The sequence below is a fragment of the Homo sapiens genome, chromosome 6 (genome assembly GCF_000001405.40).
Source record: "Homo sapiens chromosome 6, GRCh38.p14 Primary Assembly".
Classification (NCBI taxonomy): domain Eukaryota; kingdom Metazoa; phylum Chordata; class Mammalia; order Primates; family Hominidae; genus Homo; species Homo sapiens.
The window spans coordinates 17,705,700-17,732,596 of record NC_000006.12 but is presented as its reverse complement, the minus strand read 5'-3'; the positions used below and the strand labels follow the sequence as shown (position 1 = coordinate 17,732,596).

At 45.1% G+C, this 26,897-nt stretch overlaps 1 protein-coding gene, 1 long non-coding RNA gene and 2 pseudogenes across 5 annotated transcripts in view, besides 8 other annotated features; 3 read left to right on the top strand and 1 right to left on the bottom strand.

The window, feature by feature from the left end:
- The first annotated feature begins 1,674 nt into the window (after positions 1-1,674).
- Positions 1,675-1,758, top strand: LOC124901554 (uncharacterized; annotated as a pseudogene).
- Positions 7,125-7,419: an enhancer, noted in NCBI's record as "tiled region #4388; HepG2 Activating DNase unmatched - State 4:PromP". NCBI's record gives its function as "activates a minimal TATA promoter and a strong SV40 promoter by Sharpr-MPRA in HepG2 cells {active_cell/tissue: HepG2}" and the evidence as "EXISTENCE:reporter gene assay evidence [ECO:0000049][PMID:27701403]".
- Positions 7,125-7,419: a silencer, noted in NCBI's record as "tiled region #4388; K562 Repressive DNase matched - State 5:Enh". NCBI's record gives its function as "represses a minimal TATA promoter and a strong SV40 promoter by Sharpr-MPRA in K562 cells {active_cell/tissue: K562}" and the evidence as "EXISTENCE:reporter gene assay evidence [ECO:0000049][PMID:27701403]".
- Positions 7,125-7,761: a biological region, named in NCBI's record as "Sharpr-MPRA regulatory region 4388".
- Positions 7,260-7,761: an enhancer, noted in NCBI's record as "H3K4me1 hESC enhancer chr6:17725067-17725568 (GRCh37/hg19 assembly coordinates)". NCBI's record gives its function as "activates a minimal SCP1, AML or CMV promoter by ChIP-STARR-seq in naive H9 embryonic stem cells {active_cell/tissue: H9 hESC(naive)}" and the evidence as "EXISTENCE:reporter gene assay evidence [ECO:0000049][PMID:30033119]".
- On the top strand, positions 10,694-10,811 carry RNA5SP204 (RNA, 5S ribosomal pseudogene 204; annotated as a pseudogene).
- NUP153-AS1 (NUP153 antisense RNA 1) lies at positions 21,570-26,467 on the bottom strand. Of its 2 annotated transcripts, NR_134618.1 has the most exons (3): positions 25,469-25,554; positions 24,971-25,203; positions 21,570-21,808 (listed from the first exon to the last, which is right to left on the bottom strand). It is a non-coding gene; the product is annotated as an NUP153 antisense RNA 1 (long non-coding RNA). The 2 variants fall into 2 exon arrangements; NR_134616.1 differs by lacking the exons at positions 21,570-21,808; positions 24,971-25,203 and having other exon boundaries at positions 25,253-26,467.
- Positions 25,481-25,750: an enhancer, noted in NCBI's record as "active region_24115". NCBI's record gives its function as "activates an Ori minimal core promoter by ATAC-STARR-seq in GM12878 lymphoblastoid cells {active_cell/tissue: GM12878}" and the evidence as "EXISTENCE:reporter gene assay evidence [ECO:0000049][PMID:35858748]".
- Positions 25,481-26,350: a biological region, named in NCBI's record as "NANOG-H3K27ac-H3K4me1 hESC enhancer GRCh37_chr6:17706574-17707268".
- Positions 25,560-26,254: an enhancer, noted in NCBI's record as "NANOG-H3K27ac-H3K4me1 hESC enhancer chr6:17706574-17707268 (GRCh37/hg19 assembly coordinates)". NCBI's record gives its function as "activates a minimal SCP1, AML or CMV promoter by ChIP-STARR-seq in primed H9 embryonic stem cells {active_cell/tissue: H9 hESC(primed)}" and the evidence as "EXISTENCE:reporter gene assay evidence [ECO:0000049][PMID:30033119]".
- The window catches only part of NUP153 (nucleoporin 153), a 91,889-nt gene continuing 90,663 nt past the window's right edge, over positions 25,672-26,897 (top strand). For all 3 annotated transcript variants that reach the window (NM_001278210.2, NM_005124.4, NM_001278209.2), the window contains exon 1: positions 25,672-26,320. In NM_001278210.2, coding sequence (NP_001265139.1) covers positions 26,210-26,320 — 111 coding nt within the window. In that variant the 5' untranslated portion in view covers positions 25,672-26,209. The remainder of the gene's footprint in view (positions 26,321-26,897) is intronic.
- Positions 25,841-26,350: a silencer, noted in NCBI's record as "silent region_16966". NCBI's record gives its function as "represses an Ori minimal core promoter by ATAC-STARR-seq in GM12878 lymphoblastoid cells {active_cell/tissue: GM12878}" and the evidence as "EXISTENCE:reporter gene assay evidence [ECO:0000049][PMID:35858748]".

Sequence of the window (26,897 nt, the reverse complement as noted above, 5' to 3'; positions counted from 1 at the left end):
AGGACATGAGTTCTCAGATTCAGGAGGTACAATAAGTCTCTTGACACATACATTCAAAAGTCTATAATTAGACATGTTACATGAAACTGCAGAACACCAAAGATAAATAAAATATCTTAAAAGCATTCAGATAAAATAGATATTAGTTACAAATTAATGACAATTGCTAGGCATGGTGGCTAAATGCCTATGTAATCCCAGCACTTTGGGAGGGTGAGGTGGGCAGACCAGTTGAGGTCAGGAGTTCGAGACCAGCCTGGCCAAAATGGTGAAAACCCATCTGTACTAAAAAATAATAATAATAAGGGCTGGGCGTGGTGGCTCACGCCTGTAATCCCAGCACTTTGGGAGGCCGAGGCGGGCAGATCACAAGGTCAGGAGATCGAGACCATCCTGGCTAACATGGTGAAACCCCGTCTCTACTAAAAGTACAAAAAATTAGCCGGCCATGGTGGCGGGTGCCTGTAGTCCAAGCTACTCGGGAGGCTGAGGCAGGAGAATAGCGTGAATCCAGGAGGCGGAGCTTGTAGTGAGCAGAGATCATGACACTGCACTCCAGCCTGGGCAACAGAGCAAGACTCCGTCTCAAAATAATAATAATAATTATTATTATTATTATTAATAATAAATAGGCCAGGCACGGTGGCTCACACTTGTAATCCCAGCACTTTGGGAGGCCAAGGCGGGCAGATCACGAGGTCAGGTGATCAAGACCACGGTGAAACCCTGTCTCTACTAAAAATACAAAAAATTAGCCCGGCGTGGCAGGCGCCTGTCGTCCCAGCTACTTGGAGAGGCTGAGGCAGGAGAACGGTGTGAACATGGGAGGTGGATCTTGCAGTGAGCTGAGATTGCGCCACTGCACTCCAGCCTGGGTGACAGAGTGAGACTCCGTCTCAAAAAAAATAAAAATAAAAAATTAATAAAGAAATGAGGCCAGACACAGTGGCTCATGCCTGTAATCCCAGCATGTTGGGAGGTCGAGTTGGGTGGATCACCTGAGGCCAGGAGTTCGAGACCAGCCTGGCCAATATGGTGAACCCCATCTCTACTAAAAATACAAAAATTAGCCAGGCATGGTGGTGTGCACCTGTAACCCCAGCTACTTGGAAGACTGAGGCAGAAGAATCACTTGAACCTGGGAGGCAGAAGTTGCAGTGAGCCAAGATCGTGCCACTGCGCTCCAGCCTGGGTGACAGAGCAAAACTCCATCTCAAAAAAAAAAAAAAAAAAAGACACAAATGAAAAAGAATTGACAATCGGATTGACAGCAGACTTTTCAAACATACCAATAGAAATCAAAAGATAAAGGAACAGCTTCAAAATTCTGAGAGAAAATGCCAACCTATACTTCAGTTTCTACTAGTCGACAATTCATGAAAAGGTCAAATAATAGTTTAGGCAAAGACTGAAGGAATTTATCATTTATAGGTGATCCTATTAAAATAACTATTTAAGGGACCAGGTGCAGTGGCTTATGCTTGTAATCCCAGCACTTTGGGAAGCTGAGCTTGGAGGATCACTTGAGGCCAGGAGTTTGAGGCTGCAGCGAGCTGTGATTGTGCCATCACACTCCAGCCTGGGCAATAAGGTGAGACTCTCTAAAAAATAAATAAATACAAATAAATAAATGAAAGAACTATTTAATGAAGCACTTTAAGAAGGAGGAAATTAATCACTTCTTGGCCTTTTGGCTAGGATCAAGTGTAGTATCTGTTCTGATCAGTTTAATGTCTGGAAGGAAAAGAAAGAAATCCAGAAGGAAGGAAGAAGAATCAAGAAAGAGTAGTGAGCAAAGGAATTGGTCAATATGTGGGTATCAATATGTGGGTAAATCAAAACAAGCATCAACAAAATAACAAAACAAAACGTGATAGTGTGAAAACAAAGAACTAAAATATGGTCAATGGTAAGAGGAGTCATTGGCGTGAAAAGCATTCTTAAGCTCTTGTATTGTACAGAAGTCTCCCTTTATCCGTGGGAGATATGTTCCAAGCCCCCCAGAGGATGCCTGAAACCACAAATAGTATTAAATCCTATATACACAGTATGTCAGCCAATCTGAGAGAGACAGCTACTAAGTGACTAACAGGCAGTGCATGAGGGAGGGGAAGTAGGTGTGGGAAGTTGCAGTGTTCTAGGTGTGCAGATCCCATTCCACGTTCAATTAGAAGGTGTTCACTTATTTTTGTACATTTATTCACTGTACTAAGCAGATACTCTGAACCAGACCCCACGGGTTCAATGCTCTGGAAAATAAACCTCTGGACTCCTATGAAGATGAGGAGAGAGGTACATACCTACTAATCCCCAGTTCTCCTCTCCCACCCTGGCTGCCTAAGGTAGGAGAGAAGAACTGGGAATCAGTAGGTGTGTACCCAGACTCCGAACCCATCTCCTTGTTTTCAGCCATGGGCCTCTCTCCAGCTTCCCATTGTACCAAGAACCTCGAGGTTCTCTTTACATCTCAAATACCTTCTCCTGGTCTTTAGTCTGTAATGTTCTCTGCCCTGCTAAATGAGGTTCTCTTTTCTATTTGCTTTCCCTCTCCCAAAAAAATTTCGTCAGCCAGGCACTGTGACTCATGTCTGTAATACCAGCACTTTGGGAGGCTGAGAATGGGCAGATTACAAGTTCAAGAGATCAAGATCAGCCTGGCTAACATGGTGAAAACTCTACTAAAAATACAAAAAACTAGCTCAATGTGGTGGCGTGCACGCCTGTAAGTCTTAGCTACTCGGAAGGCTAAGGCAAGAGAATCACTTAGAACCTGATGTGTCCCTAATTTGTTGTTTCTTGATCTCACTGACTTGAAAAATGAAGCTGCGGATGATGACTATTAAACTACTACTAAAGATGACATATTTACAGTTTTACCCTTCTGGTAGGTTCACGGCCTTGCTGACTCAACAATGAAACGACAAACCTTTGCATTCAATGATGTAACTCACAAAGGGAGCAGCAACAAGTTTTAACGTAAAGAACAAAAAAACACAAAGCCCTCATAACACAGAAAGCAACCCAACCAGATTACCACTGCTGACTCCGGCAGCCTGCTTTTATTCCTTTATCTGGCCCCACCCGCATCCTGCTGATTGGTCCATTTTACAGAGAACTGATTGGTCTGTTTTACAGATAGTTGATTGGTCCATTTTGACAGGGTGCTGATTGGTGTGTTTACAATCCCTGAGCTAGACACAAACGTTCTCCAAGTCCCCACAGCGCACTGATTGGTGCATTTACAAACCTTGAGCTAGATACAGAGTGCTGATTGGTGCATTTACAAACCCTGAGATAGACACAGAGTGCTGATTGGTGTATTTGCAATCCCTTAGCTAGACATAAAGGTTTTCCATTTCCAAGTCTCCACTAAACTCAGGACCTCAACTGGCTTCACCAAGTGGATCTCATACTGGAGCTACAGGTGGACTTGCTTGCCAGTCTCCCGCAGTGCGCCGGCACTTCTCAGCCCTTGGGCAGTCCACGGGACCAGGCGCCGCGCAGCAGGGGGCGGCGCTTGTCGGGGAGGCTCGGGCCGCGCAGGAGCCGGCGGTGGTGGCGGCGGGGGTAGGCTGGGGCATGGCAGGCTGCAGGTCTGGAGGTCTGCCCCGCCGGTAGGCAGCTGAGGCCCGGGGAGAATTCAAGCGCAGCCCCGGTGGACCGGCACTGCTTGGGGACCTGGCACACCTTCCGCAGCTGCTAAGCCTCTTACTGCCCAGGGCCTGTGGCGTGGGGCGACCGCTCCGAGTGCGGAGCCCGCCGAGCCCACGCCCACCCGGAACTCGCGCTGGCCCCCGAGCGCCGCGCACAGCCCCAGTTCCCCGCGGCGCCTCTCCCTCCACACCTCCTTGCAAGCAGAGGGAGCTAACTCTGGCCTTGGCCAGCCCAGAGGGGGGGCCCCATAGTGCAGTGGCAAGCTGAAGGAGCTCCTCAAGCGTGGCCAGAGTGGGCGCCGAGGCCGAGGAGGCGCCAAGAGTGAGGGCTGCCAGCAGGCTGTCACTTCTCACTGGGAGGCTGAGGTTGTAAAGAGCCGAGATCGTGCTACTGCACTCCAGCCTGGGCGACAGAGTGAGACTCCGTATCACCAAAAAAAAAAAAAAAAAAAAAAAAAGGCCGGGCGCGCTGGCTCACGCCTGTAATCCCAGCACTTTGGGAGGCCAAGGCGGGCGGATCACGAGGTCTGGAGATTGAGACCATCCCGGCTAACACAGTGAAACCCCGTTTCTACTAAAAATACAAAAATTAGCCGGGCGTGGTGGCGGGCGCCTGTAGTCCCAGCTACTCAGGAAGCTGAGGCAGGAGAATCGCTTGAACCCGGGAGGCAGAGCTTGCAGTGAGCCGAGATGGCACCACTGCACTCTAGCCTGGGCGACAGAGCAAGACTCTGTCTCAAAAAAAAACAAAAACAAAACAAAACAAATTGTCCGCTGTTGTCATCTTTTCCTTCCTTTTTACCTATTGGTTTAATACCTTTATTTACTTGCTATCACATACATGGTTTTGGAGGGGAAAGGATACAAAAGTGTGTGATTAATATGCCATGTTTCATCAGAGGCCGGTAACCCAACTCTATGCCACACCTCCCACTCAAACCCTAGGAACACTTGAAAGCCCACTGCAAATAATTTGAAGCATTGTCATATGGAAGAGGATTTGAATCCTATGTGACTTCAAGTGCATAGATCAATGAATGAAAGCTCTGGTGGGAAAAACTAAAATTAACTTTCACAGCATAAATTTGGAAACAATCAGAGCGGTTCCAGAAGGTCAGAGATCATAGGAACTCTAGTAACCTTTTCTTCTCACTTATTTTGTTCAAGTAATCCCCTTCAGCTATTTTTGGGCCTAGGTAAAAATGCGAGTGTTAATTGACTAACTTTTTTTTACATAGGACTGTCAGTGTCTCCTGGTCAATTAAGCTCAGGATCAAAGGCCAGTATAAAGGCTCTCCCTTGAAGTACATGTAAAATTTGAGCAGAGCTAATTGGAATTAAGTGGGCATTTAGATATCCAGTTTATCTTGCTTAGGGGCATGGGAGGCAGTATATTTAATGACTTTTGGGTAAGAAAGAACTCGATTCAAAACCCAGCTCTAGTCCCGGGCACGATGGCTCACGCCTGTAATCCCAGCACTTTGGGAGGCCGAGGCGGGCGGATCACAAAGTCAGGAGGAGATTGAGACCATCCTGGCCAACACGGTGAAACCCCGTTTCTACTAAAAATACAAAAAAAAAAAAAATTAGCCGGGCCTGGTAGCGGGCGCCTGTAGTCCCAGCTACTCACGAGGCTGAGGCAGGAGAATGGCGTGAACCCGGGAGGCAGAGCTTGCAGTGAGCTGAGATCGGGCCCCTGCACTCCAGCCTGGGCAACAGAGTGCGACTCCATCTCAAAAAGAAACCCTACCTCTAATACTTGACACCTAGGTGAACTTGGGCAAGTTAATCTTTTTAACAAATGTATTTTAATTTTTAAATTTTTATTTTTTGTAGAGATGAGATGGTCTCACTATCTTGCCCAGGCCGGTCTTGAACTCCTGGCCTCACACAACGCTCCCACCTTCACCTCCCAAAGTGCTGGGATTACAAGCGTGAGCCACTGCACCTGGCCTATTTAACCTTTCTAAGCCCTAATTTCCTTATCTGTAAAATGGGAGGAAAAAAATGAAAACAAAAAAAGAAGAAAAATGGGAGCAATAGTACATACTATTTTATAGGATGATTGTGAAAATTGAATGAGATGCTACATATAAGGTGTCTGATATTGAACCTGGTGTATTACAAAATTTCAGTGTCTGTCAGTTCCCTTTTGTCCTTTCTGCATCTGTGTCATCCTAGTGCTGTCAATGAAAGAGAAATAGGAGAAGTACTTTATTAATATTATTATTTTTTGAGATGGAGCACTCTGTCGCCCAGGCTGGAGTGCAATGGTGCGATCTCGGCTCACTACAACTTCTGCCTCCCGGGTTCAAGTGATTCTTCTTTCTCAGCCTCCTGAGTAGCTGGGACTACAGGTGCACGCCACCACCCTCAGCTAATTTTTATATTTTTAGTAGAGGCGGGGTTTCATCCTGTTGGCCAGGCTGGTCTCTAACTCCTGACCTCGTTCCACCCACCTTAGCCTCCCAAAGTGCTGAGATTATAGGCATGAGCCACCGCGCCCGGCCAGAGATGTACTTTAATAAACAATATTGAGTTTTTTAAAAACTACTCGATGAAAATAATGTAATACCACCCCCAAAATAGTATAAAACACACTGGAATTTGAGTCAGGAGATGTCCATTCTGTCACTTAGTCACAAAATTGTGACTTTGAGTATTTAACCTAAGCTCTCTGAGCCTCGGTTGCCTTTTTTCTTTTTTTTTTTGAGACGGAGTCTCGCTCTGTCGCCCAGAGTGGAGTGCAGTGGCGCGATCTCAGCTCACTGCAAGCTCCACCTCCCGGGTTCACGCCATTCTCCTGCCTCAGCCTCCCGAGTAGCTGGGACTACAGGTGCCCGCCACTACACCCGGCTAATTTTTTGTATTTTTAGTAGAGACGGGGTTTCACCGTGTTAGCCAGGATGGTCTCGATCTCCTGACCTCGTGATCTGCCCGCCTCGGCCTCCCAAAGTGCTGGGATTACAGGCGTGAGCCACCGCGCCCGGCCTTTTTTTTTTTTTTTTTTTTTTGGTCATACGGAGTCTCACTCTGTCAGCCAGGCTAGAGTGCAGTGGCGCAATGTCGGCTCACTGCAGCCTCCACCTCCCAGGTTCAAGCAATTCTCCTGCCTCAGCCTCCCGAGTAGCTGGGATTACAGGTTCCCACCACCACATCCCACTAATTTTTGTATTTAGTAGAGAAGGGGTTTCACCGTGTTGGCCAGGCTGGTCTCAAAACTCCTGACATCAGGTGATCTACCCACCTCAGCCTCCCAAAGTACCGGGATTACAGGCATGAGCCACCGCCACCTGCCTTTGCGCCGCCTGCCCAACCCTCAGTTGCCTTTAATGAAACAGGAGTAACTCGATGAAAATTTATTAAGTGAATGAATGAATAATAAAATAAAAAAATAAAAAAAAGATTCCCACCTGGACAAAGCGTCACAAAGAACAAGTTCTTTTGTCTAAAGTAGAAATACCTAAAACAATGCAAATAGTATGAGAAATCAGCTTTTTAGCCAAGGGAGCACTTGCTGATAAAGTCTGCCTAAGGTTCAAGTCCATCCAGGCCAAGTCCCCAGAGCACGCCCCCAGGGCTCAGCCAGGAGCAGCAAGCAGCCTAATGCAAGCTGTTCCCATGGCGCCCTCCCTCCTGCCGACTCCCACTCAGACACAGCTGCTACCAGCCAGGACTGCTCTCCACCCGTCAGGAAGCACAGATCTGCATTTCCGGAGCTATAAGGCCCAAGTCCAATGGGCGCTCAGAGGGGAAGCAGAAGGAATAATTCACCCATTACTTGTGGGACTGGCCTAAGAGAACATTATAGTTCCTTTCAACCTGTGAAGTCTGTGATTTCTTTGGTCTCTAACTCCAACTCTGTACCAACCTTTTAGGAAACAAAGGACATTCTGTGCAGGAAAACTTGTTTTCTTTATTTACAGCATCTAGCAGAGTCCTCTGCAGACAGTTGGCATCTGTTATAATATTTTCAGCTTGGAAGAGATACCGCTGCTTAATCAACTTTAAAGGAAAAGATGTACTTCTCGATAATTTGAGCCTGGAACGAGATATTCAGTTCTTAAAATAAAAGAGGTAATTACTGGAACCTGCTTAGGCTACAGTTCATTTCTCTGCCTCCTGCTCAGCCTGCCCCTCTTCTTTGTTCGTAATTTGCTTTGATTATTATTATTTTTTTTTAATTAAAGGTGAGGTCTCACTGTGTTGCCCAGGCTGGTCTTGAACTCCTGCGCCCAAGTGATCCTCTCACGTCAGCCTCCCAAAGTGCTAGGATTTCTAGTGTGATCATCATGCCCAGCTGTAATATTCTTTGCTTTGTTATTTCACATGGAGTAGTATTTTAGTATGCTGATGTCATCATAACAATGCATGACTTTTTGTTGAGTCAAGAAATATTGCTGACTTATAAATATCAACAACCATTCCAGCAGGTGAGTCTTCCCAATCATTGCTCATGAATGACTTTCAGTGAATGCATCTTTAGTCTCTAGGACGTAACCCTTAAGGGCACCAGTTTAGCTCAGCACTCCTACCTCATTTTGGAATAAAATAGGTTGAAGATATTGGCAGCCAAACATGGCCTACCTAGCCATATTCACTTAAAAGAGAGTGAACTCTTCTCTCCAAATAAATTAGGCTGGGGTTTAACAATAAACACATCCATGCGAGCAATCTAAAAAAAACTTACTATGTAATTTATCTACTTTGGGGATATATAAATAGATTAGTCTGTTTCCTCTGTAAGTATCCCCAAACCTTGAAAAACTGGGAGGTTTATATATGCTGATGATTCTCCATAAGAATCAAACAGCATTTAGGTCTCTTGGAAGTTTTTGGTTTTTTCTGAAGCTCAATGGCAAGAATTTAAAAACAAACAAACAAACAAACAAACAAACAAAAAACCCTTTTTTTTAAAGAGACGATGCATCAGTATGTTGCCCAGGCCGGAGTACAGTGACTATTATAGGAGTGATCACAGCGCACTACAGCCTCAAATTCCTGGGCTCAAGGAATCCTCCTGCCTTAGTCTCTCAAGTAGCTGGGATTACAGGTGCCCGCCACCACTTCTGGCTGCTGCAAAATATTTTTGCATCTGACACAGGTTGAAGATACGCTCTTCAGATGGGCTTGTTTGGTGGATTAGATTATGATTTTCAACTTGGAGCATGAACAGGATGATAAAAATGAGCTAAAAGGCCAGGCGCGGTGGCTCACGTCTGTAATCCCAGCACGCTGGGAGGCCGAGGCAGGCGGATCACCTGACGTTGGGAGTTTGCGACCAGCCTGACCAGCCCGACCAACATAGAGAAACCCCCTCTCTACTAAAAATACAAAATTAGCCGGGCGTGGTGGCGCATGCCTGTAATCCCAGCTACTCAGGAGGCTGAGGCAGGAGAATCACTTGAACCCAGGAGGTGGTAGTGAGCCGAGACCGCACCATTGCACTCCAGCCTGGGCAACAAGAGCGAAACTCTGTCTCAATAAATAAATAAATAAATAAGGCTAAAAAATGGGTAAGAGTAAACAAGACACATGAACATCCTCTTGCCCTCCACCTTATCTTCCCTTTGAGAAATGGATACAGAACTCCACACCAGATTTTGGTTATATGGAAGGGACTCTAACTGGATGTTACCACTACTGGGGTAAGAAAGAAACAGAAAAAAAGACAGAAGATGTGGGAAAGAAAGTGACTTTCAGGGAGTTTTAGCCAAAACCAAGTCGGAGGACCAGTGCAACTGAGTACATAAGCAAAATACTGGGAGTTTGTTAAAAGACAGATTTGTAAGTTCAACTCTAGAGAATCTGTAGGTCTAGAGTGTAGCCTGAGAACCTATGCTTTAAGTATTTCTCATCTAGGCCAAGTGCAGCAGCTCACACCTGTAATCCTAATACTTTGAGAGGCTGAGGTGGATGGATTACTTGAAGCCAGGAGTTTGAGACCAGCCTTGGCAACACAGTGAAACCTTGTCTCTACTAAAAATTAAAAAAAAAAAAAAGCTGGGTGTGGTGGCACACACCTGTAGTCCCAGCTACTCAGGAGGCTGAGGCAGGAGGATCACTTGAGCCCAAGAGGTCAAGGCTGCAGAGAGCTGTGATGGCACTGCTGTATTCCAGCCTGGGCAATAGAGCAAGACCCTGTCTCGAATCAATCAATCAATCAATCAATTATTCCTATCTAATGCAGATGCCAGACTGGTGGACTACTATGGAAAGGTAGAAGTTAATCAAATCAGGACCTAATTTTTAGTTCTGGCCTTGAAAAGAAGGCCTGAGACGGCCAGACGTGGTGGCTCACGCCTGTAATCCCAGCACTTTGGGAGGCCAAGGCAGGCAGATCACCTGAGGTCAGGAGTTCAAGACCAGCCTGGCCAACATGGTGAAACCCATCTCTACTAAAAATACAAAAATTAGCTGGGTGTGGTGGCACATGCCTGTAATCCCAGCTACTCGGGAGGCTAAGGCGGGAGGATCCTTTGAACCTGGGAGATGGAGGTTGCAGTGAGCCAAGATCACGCCAGTGCTCTCCAGCCTGGGTGACAGAGCAAGATTCTGTAAAAAAAAAAAAAAAAAAAAAGCCCCAGGATGTGTAAAGCTGGTTAGGGTACATTCCTCTTTAGTGCTCCTTATCTTCTTTCCCCCTGCTTGCAAGCAGCTAAATTCTTTTGTGTTCATTGCCTTGGGGGAAGAAGCAGCCAGGGTGAAAAGGAAATAAATGTCCAGTAATTTCCAAAAACTTAAGCTCTTTAGAGAAATAGATACACAGGAAAAATGTTTGAGAGCTGGACAGTGGGGATGCTTAGGAAGGTGGGCCTCCCTCCAGTCATCCTTAGGAAAAAAATTGCCTAGGCAGAGAGAAAAATGTACAGAAGGGAAGAGGAAACCCAGAGGACACAGGTGCCCTTGTTTCCTCTAGAGGGACTGTGTGCCTTTCCCTGGAAGAAGAGCCCTGGAGAGATAGTTTGTAGGATTAAATGGCAGAACAGACCCTGCTTCACTCCCCAAGAACTCCAGTGGAGCAGTAAGAACCTAGAGAGGTACAGGGCACACCACCCTGAATGTGCCTGATCTCATCTGATCTTGGAGGCTAAGCAGGGCTGGGCCTGGTAAGTGCTTGGATGGGAGATCTCCTGGGAATACCGGGTGCTGTAGACTTAAAAAAAAAAAATCCGGAGAGAGTTGGCTACACTGTGCAAGAAGGGTTTGAAGGCTTAGCATGGAACAGAAACAATAGGATGATGCTTGCGCCTGAGTAGAATAGGGAAGAATAGAAAGCACCTGGATTGAAGGGGCCACATGGACAGGAATGAGAGGGGCTCGGTAGTAATTTTCACAGAGGACAGCAAAGAACGGAAGCTCCCCCCGCCCCCCAGCCCCCGCCCCACCCACCACACACATACATAGCACTATGTGAGCTCTGGGAACAATTCTAGGAAAAGGGACAGGGACAGTGAACCCTGACTTGACTGAGGTTATATTCTGCCACCTCTTAAAAACAATGGGGGGTTGTAGGCCAGGTGCCGTGGCTCATGCCTGTAATCCCAACACTTTGGGAGGCTGGGGCAGGTGGATCACGAGGTCAGGAGACCGAGACCATCCTGGCTAACATGGTGAAGCCCCGTCTCTATAAAAATACAAAAAATTAGCCAGGCATGGTGATGGGTGCCTGTAATCCCAGCTACTGGGGAGGCTGAGGCAGGAGAATCGTTTGAACCTGGCAGGTGGAGATCACGCCACTGCACTCTAGCCTGGGCGACAGAGTGAGACTCTGTCTCAAAAATAATAATAATAATAATAATGGGGTTTTGAAACAGAAATTTTGTTGAGTTAAAGAATATCAATTCCAGCCTAGGCAACATGGCAAAACCCCGTCTCTACAAAAATGCAAAATTAGCTGGGTGTGGTGGTGTCTGTAGTCCCAGCTACTTGGGAGGCTGAGGTGGGAGGACTGACTGAGCCTGGAAGGTGGGGTTCCAGTGAGCTGAGATTGCACCATTGTGCTCCAGCCTGGGAGACCCTGTCTCCAGGGAAAAAAAAAAAAAGAATATCAATTTACATTTACAGCATACCACATAAGTTGTGGACATAAGATTTATGTTTGCTGCACTGGAAACTAATACAATGAATAAGAGTGACATCCCTTGACAAACCATTTAACAGCTTGGTGGGGTCAGGGTGGAAGAAGAGACGTGCTTGTGGTTCAGAGTTTCTTACAATTCCAGTAACTCCAAGCTAAAGAGCATGTGTAGACTGCAAGTCACTCCAGTGCACACAACTACTTGCTAATTCTAATTTAAGGCCAGGCACGGTGGCTCACGCCTATAATCCCAGCACTTTGGGAGGCCGAGACGGGCGGATCACGAGGTCATGAGATCGAGACCGCCCTGGCTAACATGGTGAAACCGTGTCTCTACTAAAAATACAAAAAATTAGCCGGGTGTGGTGACAGGCGCCTGTAGTCCCAGCTACTCGGGAGGCTGAGGCAGGAGAATGGTGTGAACCCGGGAGACAGAGCTTGCAGTGAGCCAGTATTGTGCCACTGCACTCCAGCCTGGGCAGCAGTGCGAGACTCTGTCAAAAAAAAAAAAAAATTAGCCGGGTGTCGTGGTGCACACCTGTGATACCAGCTACTAGGGAGGCTGAGGCAGAAGAATCGCTTGAAACCAGAAAGCAGAGGTTGCAGTGAGCCGAGATCACACTACTGCACTCCAGCCTGGGTGACAGATGAGACTCCGTCTCTTAAAAAAAAAAAAAAAAAAAAAAAAAATATATATATATATATATATATATATAATTTAAGCCATTTTGAAATAGGGCAAAGAAGTAGCATTGCCAGGTTTAGCAAATTAATTGCTTCATGCCATATTTGCAATATTGAGGACATATACAAAAAGTTATTCATTGTTCATCTGAAATTCAAACTTAATGGAGTGTTTTGAATGTTATCTGGCAGCTATACAAAGAAAGGAGTTCACAAGTGTCTGGGGCCCAAGAGCACATCACCCAGTACACTGATCTGGTTAGCAGAGTCCCTACTCTGCTCCTGAAATCCTGCCAAGGCGCTAACGGAAAAGCAGCTACACATACCTAGGTGAGAAGAGTCAGGGATTCCAGTTAGCTCGGCAGCTTCCATAAATATCTCAGGCTCCACCCTCTCCACCTGCCCATTGCCTGTGGGAAGCTCTAGAGTGTCACCTGGCTAATGGAAGAACTAGAGTTTTTAAAAATCAGTCAGACCTGTGTTCAAAGCCCATTTCTGTCAACTATTTGGTATGACCTTGAGCATACTTAATAACCCTTCTCTTTTATTCCCTAAAAGAGTCCTCATAAGGATAAAAAAAAATGCATGGAAGGCACCCAGCAAGGTGCACAGCATAGTGTGGGCACTCAATAAATAAATACATAAATAAATAAATAAATAAATAAATAAATAAATAAATAGTGCTATCATTTCCTGCACTTAGTTACTAACAGTGGAGGCTTTAAATCCTATTCCTTGGCCTCCTCTTCATCTCTGCAAGATCCTACCTAGATATTGCAATTATTTGAGGACACAGTTTGTTCCCTTGCAACCTTAGGTCTATGTATTTTTGTCTCCAGTGCACATTTTACAGTACCTTCTGTCACCTGGCCTTTTGTACAGAAGAATGTATTTCATCTAAAGAAAGGAGGCCAGGTGCAGTGAGCTCATACCTGTAGTGCCAGTACTTTGGGAGGCTGAGGCAGGAGGATCACTTGAGCCCAGGAGTTAGAGACCAGCCTGGTCATGTACCAAGACCCCATCTCTACAAAAAATAAAATTAGCTGGGCGTGGTGGTGTGTGCTTGTGGTCCCAGCTACTTAGGAGGCTGAGGTGGGAAGATCCCTTAAGCCCAGGAGTTCAAGGCTGCAGCGAGCTCTGATTGTACCACTGCACTCCAGCCTGGGCAACAGAGCGAGACCCTGTCTTTAAAAAAATAAATAGGCAGGGTGCAGTGGCTCATGCCTGTAATCCCAGCACTTTGGGAGGCCGAGGCAGGTGGAGCACTTGAGACAGGAGCTCGAGAACAGCCTGGCCAACATGACGAAAACCCATCTCTACTAAAAATACAAAAATTGGCCGGGTGCAATGGTGCACGCCCATGGTCCCAGCTACTTGGGAAGCTGAGGCAGGAGAATCGCTTGAAACTGGGCAGTGGAGGTTGCAGTGAGCCAAGACTGCACCACTGCACTCCAGCCTGGATGACAGAGCAAGACACTATCTCAATAAATAAATAAATAGCATTCTCTGCTAAAGAATCACTAAATTGTACTCACGTTCTTTAAATTGAAAGTCCTGACTCCAAGCCCACCAAGTTGAGGAGGGGAAACCATGACAGCTAATCTGAAGCTTTTAATCTGCAAATCATTTAAAATCCTAAGCAACAAATATTTCCAAAAGGAAATTTATCTGCATATGTATTTACTCAAAATACTTATAAGTACGAACACTTCTGGTGGGGCACAGTGGCTCATGCCTGTAATCCCAGCATTTTGGGAGCCCAAGGCGGGCGGATCACCTGAGGTCAGGTGTTGGAGACCATCCTGGCAACATGGTGAAACCCCATCTCTACTAAAAGTACAAAAATTAGCCGAGCATGGTGGTGGACACCTGTAATCCCAGCTACTCAGGAGGCTGAGGCAGGAGAATCGCTTGAACCCGGGAGGTGGAGGTTGCAGTGAGCTGAGATCGTACCATTGCACTCCAGCCTGGGTGACAAGAGCGAGACTCCATCTCAAAAAAAAAAAAAAAAAGAGTATGACCACTTCCACTTGTCCCTAAATGGCAGGACACATCCCATTATCATGTTACCATCTGCAGAATACATGGTCTTCTATAGCTGTTGAATGCTATTCCCGAAAGTCTGTCATTCTGTATGTATGTATTTATTAGAGACAGGATCTCACTCTGTCACCCAGGCAGGAGTACAGTGGCATGATCATAGCTCACTGCAGCCTCAAACTCCTGGGTTCAAGTGATTCTCCCTCCTCAGCCTCCTGAGTAGCTAGTATGACAGGTGCATGCCAACACACCCGGCTATTTAAAAACTGTTTTTGGAGAGATGGGGGTCTTGCACCATTGCCCAGTCTAATCTAAAACTCCTGGCCTCATGTAATCTTCCCACCTCAGCCTTCTAAAGTGCCTGTTTTTTTGTGGTTTTTTTTTTTTTTTTTTTTTTTTTTTTGAGACAGAGTCTCACTCTGTCGCCAGGCTGGAGTGCAGTGGTGTGATCTTAGCTCATGGCAACCTCCGCCTCTCAGGTTCGAGCGATTCTCCTGCCTCAGCCTCCCAAGTAGCTGGGACTACAGGCACGTGCCACCATGCCCAGCTAATTTTTGTATTTTTAGTAGAGATGGGGTTTCACCATGTTGGCCAGGATGGTCTTGATCTCTTGACCTCGTGATCCACCCGCCTCAGCCTCCCAAAGTTCTGGGATTACAGGCGTGAGCCACCGCGTCCGGCCGAAGGTCTGTTTTTAAAGTGCACTTCCTTCTCCCTTCAGGTCACATTCCTATTTTGGCATAATCCCCCAGAGAAAGCACCATCTTGATCTGAGTCCATAAAAGTGATTTTTCTGAGGCCAGGCGCGGTGGCTCACGCCTGTAATCCCAGCACTTTGGGAGGCCAATGAGGGTGGATCACTAGGTCAGGAGATCGAGACCATCCTGGCTAACACGGTGAAACCCTGTCTCTACTAAAAATACAAAAAATTAGCCGGGCATGGTGGCGGGCACCTGTAGTTCCAACTACTCGGGAGGCTGAGGCAGGAGAATGGCGTGAACCCGGAAGGCGGAGTTTGCAGTGAGCTGAGATCGCGCCACTGCACTCTAGCCTGGGCGACAGAGCGAGACTCCGTCTCAAAAAAAAAAAAAAAGTGATTTTTCTGTTTACCTCTGATACTGCAAATAGTACATGGTCTCAGGTAAATTGTGTTTAAAAGCAAAAGGGAGATTTCAAGTGTTCTAGCAATAAAAGATTGTTTTAACAAGTTTCATTTTAAAGTATTTTTTTTCAAACACAGAAAACATTTGCATAACATAAAAGTTGTTGAGGGAAATAAGGAATTGTGAAACCTCCTATAAATGTCCATTCATCCTTTCAATAAATATTCATTCAATTTGTGCCTGGCTTTATGGATACAAAATGTGAGGAAAACATGAAGTGACAATGACGAGGGTCTTTTCTTTTCCATGTATTATTTATTAGTCCTTCATTATTTATGACGCCAGTAAGTGACACTCTGGGTTTCGGTAACACCATTTCTGCAAGGTATCACTCATCCTTTGTTCGTTTTTTTACAGCTTTTGAATTTAGGTCAACAAGGAGCCAATCTGGACCCAAAAGACTGCCTTATAGAGGGAAAATACACCAAGGGTGAGTTCAGGTTGGCCGTGAACCTGGCAGAATTTTTGATGGTATTTTCAGACATGTCTAGCAGTGACTATTTGCCAGAATTTAAAATTTGCCCTCCCTGCTTGCTCGTCTCAGCCTCCTTCTCTTTTGTCTGACATCACTCCTTAAACATTTCCTCTTTTCTTTTTCTATATTCCTTCCATATATAGGAAGTTTTCAGTGGAAAATTGCTGGAGAAATTGAAACAAGTGATCTGACCTGTTTTGTTTGGATCTCATGTAAAACTAACCACTGCACTTTTCTTGTTCTTTTCATTAACTTGAAATTAGGATATCCCAATTCCTACTAAAAAATATAAAAATTAGCCGGGTTTGGTGGCAGGTGCCTGTAGTCCCAGCTACTTGGGAGGCTGAGGCAGGAGAATCACTTGAACTATGGAGGCGGAGGTTGCAGTGAGCGGAGATCTCACCACTGCACTCTAGCCCGGGCAACAGAGCAAGACACGATCTCAAAAAAAAATAATAATAATAATAAAGAAGAAAGAAAGAAAGAAAGAAATTAAGGCAGAAAGCTTCTCAGAACTGTCGCGTTTTTTCCCCTCCATCTCAGTTTTGGATTTTCTTTTTTTTTTTGAGACAGAGTTTTGCTCTTTTTGCCCAGGTTGGAGTGCAATTGGTGCGATCTCAGCTTACCACAACCTCCGCCTCCTGGGTTCAAGGAATTCTCCTGCCTCAACCTCCCGAGTAGCTGTGATTACAGGCATATGCCACCACACCCGGCTAATTTGGTATTTTTAGCAGAGACGAGGTTTCTCCATGTTGGTCTGGCTGGTCTCGAACTCCCGACCTCAGTTTTGGATACTTTTCAAAGGACCGTGTTCTAAAGTTAGTGGTGTAGGCAAAAAGTCAGTTCCTCTTTGTTTGTAAACCAAAACCAAACCTTGAGAGGAGACTCTGCTGGTACAGGAGGAGGCATAGTTGTAAAGGCTGGGACCTTATGATGAGGAGTCAAAGAGGCAGAGCTATAGTGGACAAGAGCGAAGAGAGAAAAATGGCATTTCCTTCCCAATTGTCTACTACTCCTGGTGCCCCTTTGTGGATTTGCCTCCTCACTGCACAGCAGCAGACCACTACTTTGCAGAGTAACTGCTGGCCAACATGGATATCCAGTATGAGAGAGACAAGTGATTAAACTCAAGCATCAGCAAGGATGAAGCTAAAATCAATCCTGGGTCTCAGCACTTCGGCTGGAAGGGATGGGCCTAAAAGCGGGTGCTTCTTGTAGGAAGTGCTTATGAGTCACTGCTGACTCATTGAAGGGGCAAGATTTTATGACCAAACAAGTGAAAAAGAAAATGTAACTGTTACTAATTGAAAGCATTTAAGTTATGGCTTGGGTTTAACTGTGGCTAGTTGATGCTCTTTGTTGCTTGGTTGTGGCCTTCTTGGAGGCCTATGGTCTGCTTTGATGCTTTTATTCTACACATTGTATGGGTACATAGTGGAAGCTACACCTTCATGGGGAGAGGGGGAGAGTTTTCTGTAGTTGGGGGTGGTTGTTTAAGTAGGTTTTGCTCAACGTCTGCAAAGTTGCCTTCAATTTGTTTGGTGATACTGCCTTTTTAATACTAAATGTAGAATGATATAACCTCACTCATCTTTGCTTTGGAGAATATTTGAAGAGTTCTTTTTATTGGGTTTTTTTTTTTTTTTTTTTTTTTGGTTTTAAAGAAGCCTACTTTTGGTAGCTCATGATATCCTACTGTCATTATAATGGATCCAAACAAGGTAAGCTACATTGAGGCCACTGGCCATGGATTATAGATATTGGCTTAAAATCATCTTAACTAACCATTATGCTTGTGTAATTGCTCTGTTAAATCAACTCTGCTACCTGTGATGATACAGAATAAGGATGTGCTAAATCCAGATTTTCATTTCAGCTAGTAGCCTAGCTTCCTTTGGAAATAGAAGCTAATGAAAATAACAATTAAAAAATGGTTCATCTCATTTCTGCTCACTTTGTGGTAAAAGTGAAAGTTACTGAATGGTAAAAGGAAAAAAAAAATCTACATGATCAATAAGCTGCTGGCTCATCAATTCTTACTTAAATTGTTGGTTGTTGTAGATGAGCAAGGAACAGAAATTCCTAAGCCTGCTCTTTACAGGAACTTCAGTGACCTCATTATCTGCCCTTGATGTTTAACTGTTCACATGAGCAAACATGCTTCTATTTGGCCTACACAAGGGGTGATGTATGTAAGTTTTTAAATATGATTTTTCACCTTTTGTATTGCACAGCTTTTTAGGCCTTCTCTATTGCAGGAGTTAAGAACAATAGGCATGTTGTGATGACTTCTTCTGGAAACTTTTAGACTAACATATCCATTATTGTTATCAAATTGAACTTTTCCAGAAGTAATGTTTGGAGAAAATACTATGTCCAATTATTGTCTTAGCTTCATAGCAGCTATTTAAGAGGTCAAGCTATGGCCGGGCACGGTGGCTCACGCCTGTAATCCCAGCACTCTGGGAGGCCAAGGCAGGCGGATCACGAGGTCAGGAGATCGAGACCATCCTGGCTAACACAGTGAAACCCCGTCTCTACTAAAAAAAAAAAAATACAAAAAATTAGCCAGCCATAGTGGCGGGCACCTGTAGTCCCAGCTACTCGGGAGGCTGAGGCAGAAGAATGGCGTGAACCCGGGAGGCGGAGCTTGCAGTGAGCCGAGATCGTGCCACTGCACTCCAGCACTCCAGCCTGGACGACAGAGGCAGACTCCGTCTGAAAAAAAAAAAAAAAAAAAGAGGTCAAGCTACTAGAGGTAGGTAATCTAATTGTTTTTATGATTTGTCAAGTAGAAAGCTGCTACCATTCCTGCCTTTACAGTTTAGAAAAATTACAGTTTATTCCAAGTTGCCTGAATTCTCATCTAGCATTCCAGATATATTAGATGCCAATCCAAGCCTAAGAATATTCCCTCCTAGAGTGCCCGCTTGCTTTTCTACCTTAAAAATGATTTTGTGACTACAACGGAATGAGAAAAGTCATCGCAATTCTAAGAAAGTAGCCTGATATTTCTTTTAGGAATTTATCTCTGCTCATAGCTTCTTGGATTAGGGTTTACTTTACATCCATTTTTTTTTTTCATGAATTAGTTCTAAAATAAAATTTTTCTTTTTCTTTTGCAACCAACCAAACAACCAGCAGTGACTAAAAGAAAATTTGTATAAGAAAAGGATACATGGGAATTAGCAAGGGGTTCTTGAAATATCTATGCTTAAGTATATTTCATAACTAATGCTCAGTTTTAGACCCTTAACATTTCAGATGTTAATAACTTCTGCTAGATTACCTTTTTCCTTTGGAAAAAAAAAGTTAATGAAAGAATAATTAAAAAATGGTTCATTCCATTTCTGCTCACTTTGTGGTAAAGGAGAAAGGTACAGAATGATAAAGAAGAGGAAAAAAAACTACATGTTGTATAAGCTGTTGGTTCATCAATTCTTAAATTGTTGATTGTTGTAGATTAGTAAGGAACAGAAGTTCCTAAGCCTGCTCTTTACGGGAACTTCAGGTACCTCATTGTCTTGCCTTCAAAGTTAATCTAACTTCAGATTAATAACTTCTGGTGGCATGGTTTTGAAACAATGCTCCTAGAATGTAATACAGTTCACCTGGTGATCTTGTTAAAATGTAGATTCTGATTGTGTTGGCTTGGGATGGGCAGAGCTGCTTTATTCTAACAAGCTCCCGGGGGCTGCAGCTGGTGCTTGCTGGTCAGAGTAGCAGCAAGAGGCCAAAAGTCACTGTTTGTTTAAACTGGGTAGTTCATGCTTGTCTGATGGTGGTGGGGTGATATGTATGTGAGGGTTGTTTGCATGTTAACTGGTTTGCATGCTTTTGAAAAGGAATGCCTTAATAAGTTAGGGTCTGATAAACTTGAGCATTCTCTACAAATGCTTTTAAAAAATAAAGAAGCTTAGTATTAGCAAACTAAGGTTTGCAAAGGTTATAGTTTTACAGACTGCAACCTTAATAAGTCCAGTTTCGTAATGTAACTGATGAATTATGTTAATAAATAAAACTAAACCAATTGATTTCTTTTTTTTCTTTTTTCTTTTTTTTTGAGATGGAGTCTCGCTCTGTCGCCCAGGCTGGAGTGCAGTGGCATGATCTCCGCTCACTGAAAGCTCCGCCTCCCAGGTTCATGCCATTCTCCTGCCTCAGCCTCCCGAGTAGCTGGGATTACAGGCGCCCACCACCGCGCCCGGCTAATTTTTTTTTTTTGTATTTTTAGTAGAGACGGTGGTTTCACCATGTTAGCCAGGATGGTCTTGATCTCCTGACCTCGTGATCCGCCTGCCTTGGCCTCCCAAAGTGCTGAGATTACAGGCATGAGCCACCGTGCCCGCCCCTGATTTCTTGTATGAGATAGATTCAACAGCATGTGTTTAGAATTTACGTGTAGGTTTTTTTTTTTTTTTTTGAGACAGAGTCTGGCTCAGTTGCCCAGGCTGCAGTACCGTAGCATGATCTCGGCTCACTGCAACCTCTGCCTCCCAAGTTCAAGCGATTCTTCTGTCTCAGCCTCCCAAGTAGCTGGGATTACAGGCATGTGCCACCACACTCGGCTAATTTTTTAATTTTTTTAGTAGAGACGGGGTTTTGCCACGTTGGCCAGGCTGGTCTCAAACTCCTGACCTCGGGTGATCCGCACATCTTGGCCTCCCAAACTGCTGGATTACTGGTGTGAGCCACTGTGCCTGGCTTGAGTGTAGCATTTTTAAGGTGAATTATCAGTGTTAAGTGCTAATGATTAATAGATTATAAAATAGTAAACTTTAGTATAACTCAATAAAATGGTAAAGTGTAGCATAATATGTAGACAGAGATTGTTTTACAGTTTTGTATACTGACATACTAAATGCCAAGACTAGAAACCAACACATAAATATCTCAATAAATATTTGTGTTTTAATGAATTAATCTCAGTTAATTCATTAACTGTCTTAAATGTTAGGATGGGATTGCCTTCCTAAATTTGGTTATTATTTCATCCAATAAAACTGAGTTTCCATTCAAGATTGAATTTAAAATATGCCTTAAACTATAATGTAATGTACATAAACACATATATACCAAAGTCTAGTATACATTGATACATGTAGTCAGGAAGAGGAAATATATGGCATGTTGGAATCAAGTGATATATGTAGTTAATCAAAATTTGCTCATATTAGTTAATTTAGTCTTAAATATTACTTTATTCCCAATAGAGAGAGAACACAGTAAGTTAATGAGAATACAATGATTTACATCCTTAAATATCTTTCCGTTGTGTGGCCCTTCTTTCCCTAAAATACAAGCAAACAGGCAATAAATAAATAAATAAATAATAAATAAACCCAATAGCTTCATTTTCTTTATTTTTTTCTTTAGAGATGGGGTCTCACTCTGTTACCTAGGCTGGACTGCAGTGGTGAGATCATAGCTCGCTGCAGCCTTAGACTCCTGGGCTCAAGTGATCCTCCTGCCTCAGCCTCCCTAGTAGCTGGGACTACAGGTGCACACCACTAAGCTCAACTAATTTTTTCATTTCTTTGTAGAGAAGGGGTCTCGTTATGTTGCCCAGGCTGGTTTCAATCTCCTGGCCTCAAGTGATCCTCCTGCCTTGGCTTCCCAAAGTGCTGAGATTATGGGTGTGAGCCACATGCCTGACCAGGAATACACTTTAAAATAATAAAGTATGGTAGCAACAGGAAATGGCAAGGAGTGCCTGTTAAAAAAAAAAAAAAGGTATAGTAAATACATAAACCAGAAACAGCCACTTATCATTATGAAGTATTCTGTACTGTACATAATTGTACATACTCCACTTTTACACAAATGGCAACACAGTAGGTTTGTTTATACCAGCATCACCACAAACACGTGAGTAATGTGTTGCAATAAGACCTTAGGACAAAGACAGTATCACCAGGCAATACGAATTTTTCAGCTCTTTATGGGACCACCATTGTATATTGGGCCCATTGTTGATTGAAACATTGTTATGCTGTGCATGAGTGTGATAATTTGTTTTAATAGACATCACAGCAGATACCTCATTTTGTTTTGGTAAGGTGGAATAACTACATAAAATTTCGTAACTTCTTGTACTTGTCATCTTTAAACATTCTTTTGGCCAGAATTGTATTAGTACCTTCTGAAGAATGTATGATGGCTCTTTTTCAATCTAGGTTGGGTTTAGACTAAATTGTATTTCACTTTTAATTAGTGGATACTCCTTATCTATTAGAGATGGGTCAGCAGCCTATTTGCTAATTTATAATTGGCAGCTGGTTACATATATATATATACATATATATATATATTTGTTGTTTTAATTTTTTAATTTTTTTGATATGGAGTCTCACTCTGTGGCCCAGGCTGGAGTGCAGTGGCATGATCTCAGTTCACTGCAACCTCCACCTCCATGGTTCAAGCGATTCTCCTGCCTCAGCTTCCCGAGTGGCTGGGACTACAGGTGAGCACCACCACGCCCAGCTAATTTTTTTTTTTTTTTTTTTAAGTGGAGACAGGTTTCACCATGTTGGCCAGGCTGGTCTCGAACTCCTGACCTCCAGTGATCCACCCGCCTTGGCCTCCCAGAGTGCTGGGATTACAGGTGTGAGCCACTGTGCTCGGCCACTTTCTACTATATTATATGGGGAACAAAATAAAGAAGTTTCTTGGCAGAGGAGGACTATTGTAGCAACAAGCTTTTCATGAATTGCAGTGTCTCCCAATATGCCATTTATTTGGCTGAAAAAACTAGGTCCAGGTTGAATGCAGATTTCCTCCTGTCTCTTTATTCCTTCTCTGCTCTCAAGCCTGGCACGGCTTCCAATGACTCAATCACATGAATGTGAGATTAATGCATTATAGTTCCCTCAAATACTATTTTACTTCCAAGAAATAAAATAATTGTGGAAATGGGTAAAAAGTTGAGAGCATGGGTAAAAGGAATGTGGATTTTCCCATATCTCCTCAAGTTCTACCAATCTTCTATTTCTGAAGCATTGTCTACATTTGGCCCAATTCTTTCGCGTCTCTCTTCCTTTCAAAGGTTGGCTGTGAAGGGTGTCCAGCACATCAAAGAATAGCCTCCAAGAAAGGGGTGAGCTTTGATTCCAGTCAGTCCTCTGTTCTGTGGTGGAAACTCTGGGTCTCATAGAGTGAAGAGGGCAGATGGGATGTGGCTATGGTTTAATCTCCTCTACGTATAACCCAATTAAAGATTCAGGTACAGATCTTCCCTATGAGTTAGCTTATCGTGAATTACTTTACTTGGCTGTCAAATATCTAGCTATGGATTTGTGGAAGAATAGGATTTCTGCATAGGAGGAAGATAGCACCTGAGGGAAACAACTGTCTTTAAGAAAGATGAAGTGCTTCAGGAGGAAGAGGGGGCATACCTGGAGAATTTAGTGGGAAGTTAGTGGTGGGAGGAGGCATGAAGCTAGGATGAGACAGCGGAAAATAGATTAATTTTGTTTATCATATTTGGCAACTTGTCTTGATCTTGATGGTTATGGTCAGAGGTGCCACTGAAAGCCATTGATGTGTACACCTATGCTTGGTATAGCATAGTTTCTTTAGGCGCTGAAAGGTACAAGTTCAAAGGTACTAGAAGACTGGCTTTACAATTTCACTTGTATGATTTAAACAATGAACCTGAATTGTGCAGTTTGATTGTGGAGATAGTATAAATGTCTTGGAACTAATTATTTATATCTGATTGATGGTTGATATTGGATGCTTTCTATCTAAGCAGTTACTATGAACTAGATATACATTAATCCTTTCACCAGACCACTACCCTGTGAGGTCAATATTCGCTCTATTTGCTGATGAAAAAAACGAAGCTTAGAAACAGGATCAGTGGGCTGGGCGCGGTGGCTCACGCCTGTAATCCCAGCACTTTGGGAGGCCGTGGGCAGATCACCTGAGATTGAGAGTTCGAGACCAGCCTGACCAACATGGAGAAACCCCATCTCTAGTAAAAATACAAAATTAGCCGGCCGTCGTGGCACATGCCTGTAATCCCAGCTACTCGGGAGGCTGAGGCAGGAGAATCGCTTGAACCCAGGAGGTGGAGGTTGCTGAGATTGCGCCATTGCACTCCAGCCTGGGCAAAACAAGAGGAAAAAACTTCGTCTCAAAAAAAAAAAAAAAAGAAAGAAACAGGATCAGTAACTTCCCCAAGGCTACACAGCTAGTAAGTGGGAGATTTATAGTAAATAGGCTGGGCGTGGCGGCTCACACGGGTAATCCCAGCACTTTGGGAGGCCAAGGCGGGTGGATCACTTGAGGTCAGGAGTTCAAGGCCAGCCTGGCCAACATGGCGAAACCCCATCTCTACTAAAAATACACAAATCAGCTGGGCGTGGTGGTGCACGCCTGTAGTCCCAGCTACTTAGGAAGCCGAGGCAGGAGAATAGCTTGAACCTGGGAGGCAAAGGGTGCAGTGAGCCAAGATCGCGCCACTGCACTCCAGCCTGGGCGACAGGGCAAGACTCTGTCTCTCAGAAAAAAAGAAAGAAAGAAAGAAAGAAAAAAAAAGATTTATAGTAAGTCTAAGATTTTTCACAACATATTTTTCCTCCCTAATCATTTGGCTATTTGTCTTTAGCTCTTACAGAAAAGTTGGGTTATAGTCCTGGCTTTGATTACCCATCTCAGTGTCATTGATTGTGCCACCTAAATTTCTCTGGACATCTTGTCTGGTTGGTTGAATGAGAGGGTTGGACTATGTGATCACCAGGACCTTTCTAATCGTCAACTCCTAGAATATACATTTTGTGGATTCAGTCTTTGAGTCTAGCTCACTTACTCAGTTTCCTAAATATTTGGAGCAAATATAGTATACTTTTATTGTTAAGGATATATCACTTACCCCTAATGTTAGCTGACTGCATGGGTTATAATTGTAATCATTCATCGCATTTTTCGTCTATTAGCAAATATACATGCTCTCCATAGATGATCACGTCTGCTCCTCACAACAGCTTTATAAGGTGGATTTTAAAGCTCCCATTTTATGGAGGAGGAAGCTAAGGCTCAGACGGTTTTGATTCATCCAAGGTCAAATAGGTTGGGTGGCAGAACCAGAATTCCAGCCCCGTGTGTCTGCAACAAAACCTTTATATGTTTAAAGAAACATTAATGAAGCCGTATATATTTTCTAATTCTAAGGATCATGGACTTTATTTTTCAACCACAGATTTTTTTTTCCTCCTTCTTAAATCATTAGCTCTTGTCTTTGATTTTACTGTCTGCTTACTTCCTGCCTACTTAACCAACCGACAGGGAGAAGGAGAATGGGAAGAGGTTACTGTTTTTATGTTAAGTGTCTTTTCAAAGTCTAATTTACAGCCAAGAACAGCAAAAGTACCCCTTGGCTTTGTGCCTCTGCGGCGCCCCGGAGATCTCCTTCCCCGTCCCTCTTCCTTTCCGAGAAGCCGCGTTCCGTTGTTGAACTACGTTTCCCAGCGTGCCGCGCGGCCGAGAGCGTGGACTCGACCAGCCCTTCCTCTTTGCCTATCAGCTCGTCGCAGCATGATGATGCAAATGCGTCGGGCGCCGATGAGTGACGACATTCTGGCTCGCGACCGCGGCAGCCGCCTTAGCAGGGGTAATAGGCGCAACGGCGGCGGAGGCTGCAGGGACGACGACGACGACGGCGGCGGGGCGGGCGCTGTGCGCACAGGGGAGGGGTAGGCGGGCGTCGCCAGCGGCTTCAACTGCGGCAGCTACGGCTAGGGCGACGGAAGAACTCCCACCAGTCGGCGGTCGAGTTAGGCCTCAGCACCGCGGGGAACTGTTCGTGCTGTCCTCTGCGGGAGATCTCCATAGAGACCGTGACACACACAGAGGCGGGGGTCCGCAGAGGCGGCCGGACCGGAGCCTCCTCGGCCTCTGCGGCCGCCACCCCCTTCCCCGCTGCCAGCACTCACCCTCTCTCCGCTCCTGCTCGCAACCTCGCGGTTCCTGGGGTGCTTGTGCCCACTGTGTGGACAGCGCGGGCGGACTTTTGGGCCGGGGCCGGGCGGCGGGGGAGGCTCTCTAAGGCCTCCGCCTCTGCCTCTCCCGCCCCCTTACCCGCCCCGGAGCGGGAAGCGGCGGAGGCTCCGCCATGGCCTCGGGAGCCGGAGGAGTCGGAGGGGGCGGTGGCGGCAAGATCCGGACGCGGCGTTGCCACCAGGGGCCAATTAAGCCTTACCAGCAGGGGCGACAACAGCATCAGGTATGGGACCCCGACGCCGCGGTGGCCTGGCGGGTGGGGAAACTCGGCTGGAGGGGACGGGCGGTTCGAGGCCCCGGCGCCCCACGTGGAGCAGACAGGAGGGCCTGAGGAAAGGCCCGAGTGAGGCTCCGGGGGAGCTCAGGCCGTTGGGGGTGGCGACGGGAAGTGGGCTGAGACAGGCCCAGCCTTGCGGCGCACACGTGTGGTTTGGGCCGCCTTTCCCCCAACTCTCTGGGTCAGGGGCTTTCCCAGGCAGGCTCTGGGCGGGAAAAGAAATTGTAGGCCCATGATGCGCGCGTTTCTTTATTTTTTGGCGGGGATTTGGAATTTGAGGGTATTACTCATGTTCTCTCGAGGGAGAAAGGAAAAGATGTGGTTGATGGCCCTTATACTTGCTGTTTTCTGGTGTCCCTTCTTTAGTGTGTTTGAGGAGGGGGGGCTGCCCCTTGGAATCTTAACTCTGGGGCAGACGGGGAGTTGTGGGGGGCGCTGTTACATGGAAAGTGGAATAACTTAGTCTCAGCCTATGAGTTAATTCTCGGTTTCCCCTGCCTGTGGCCCTCCTCGTCTTGAGAGC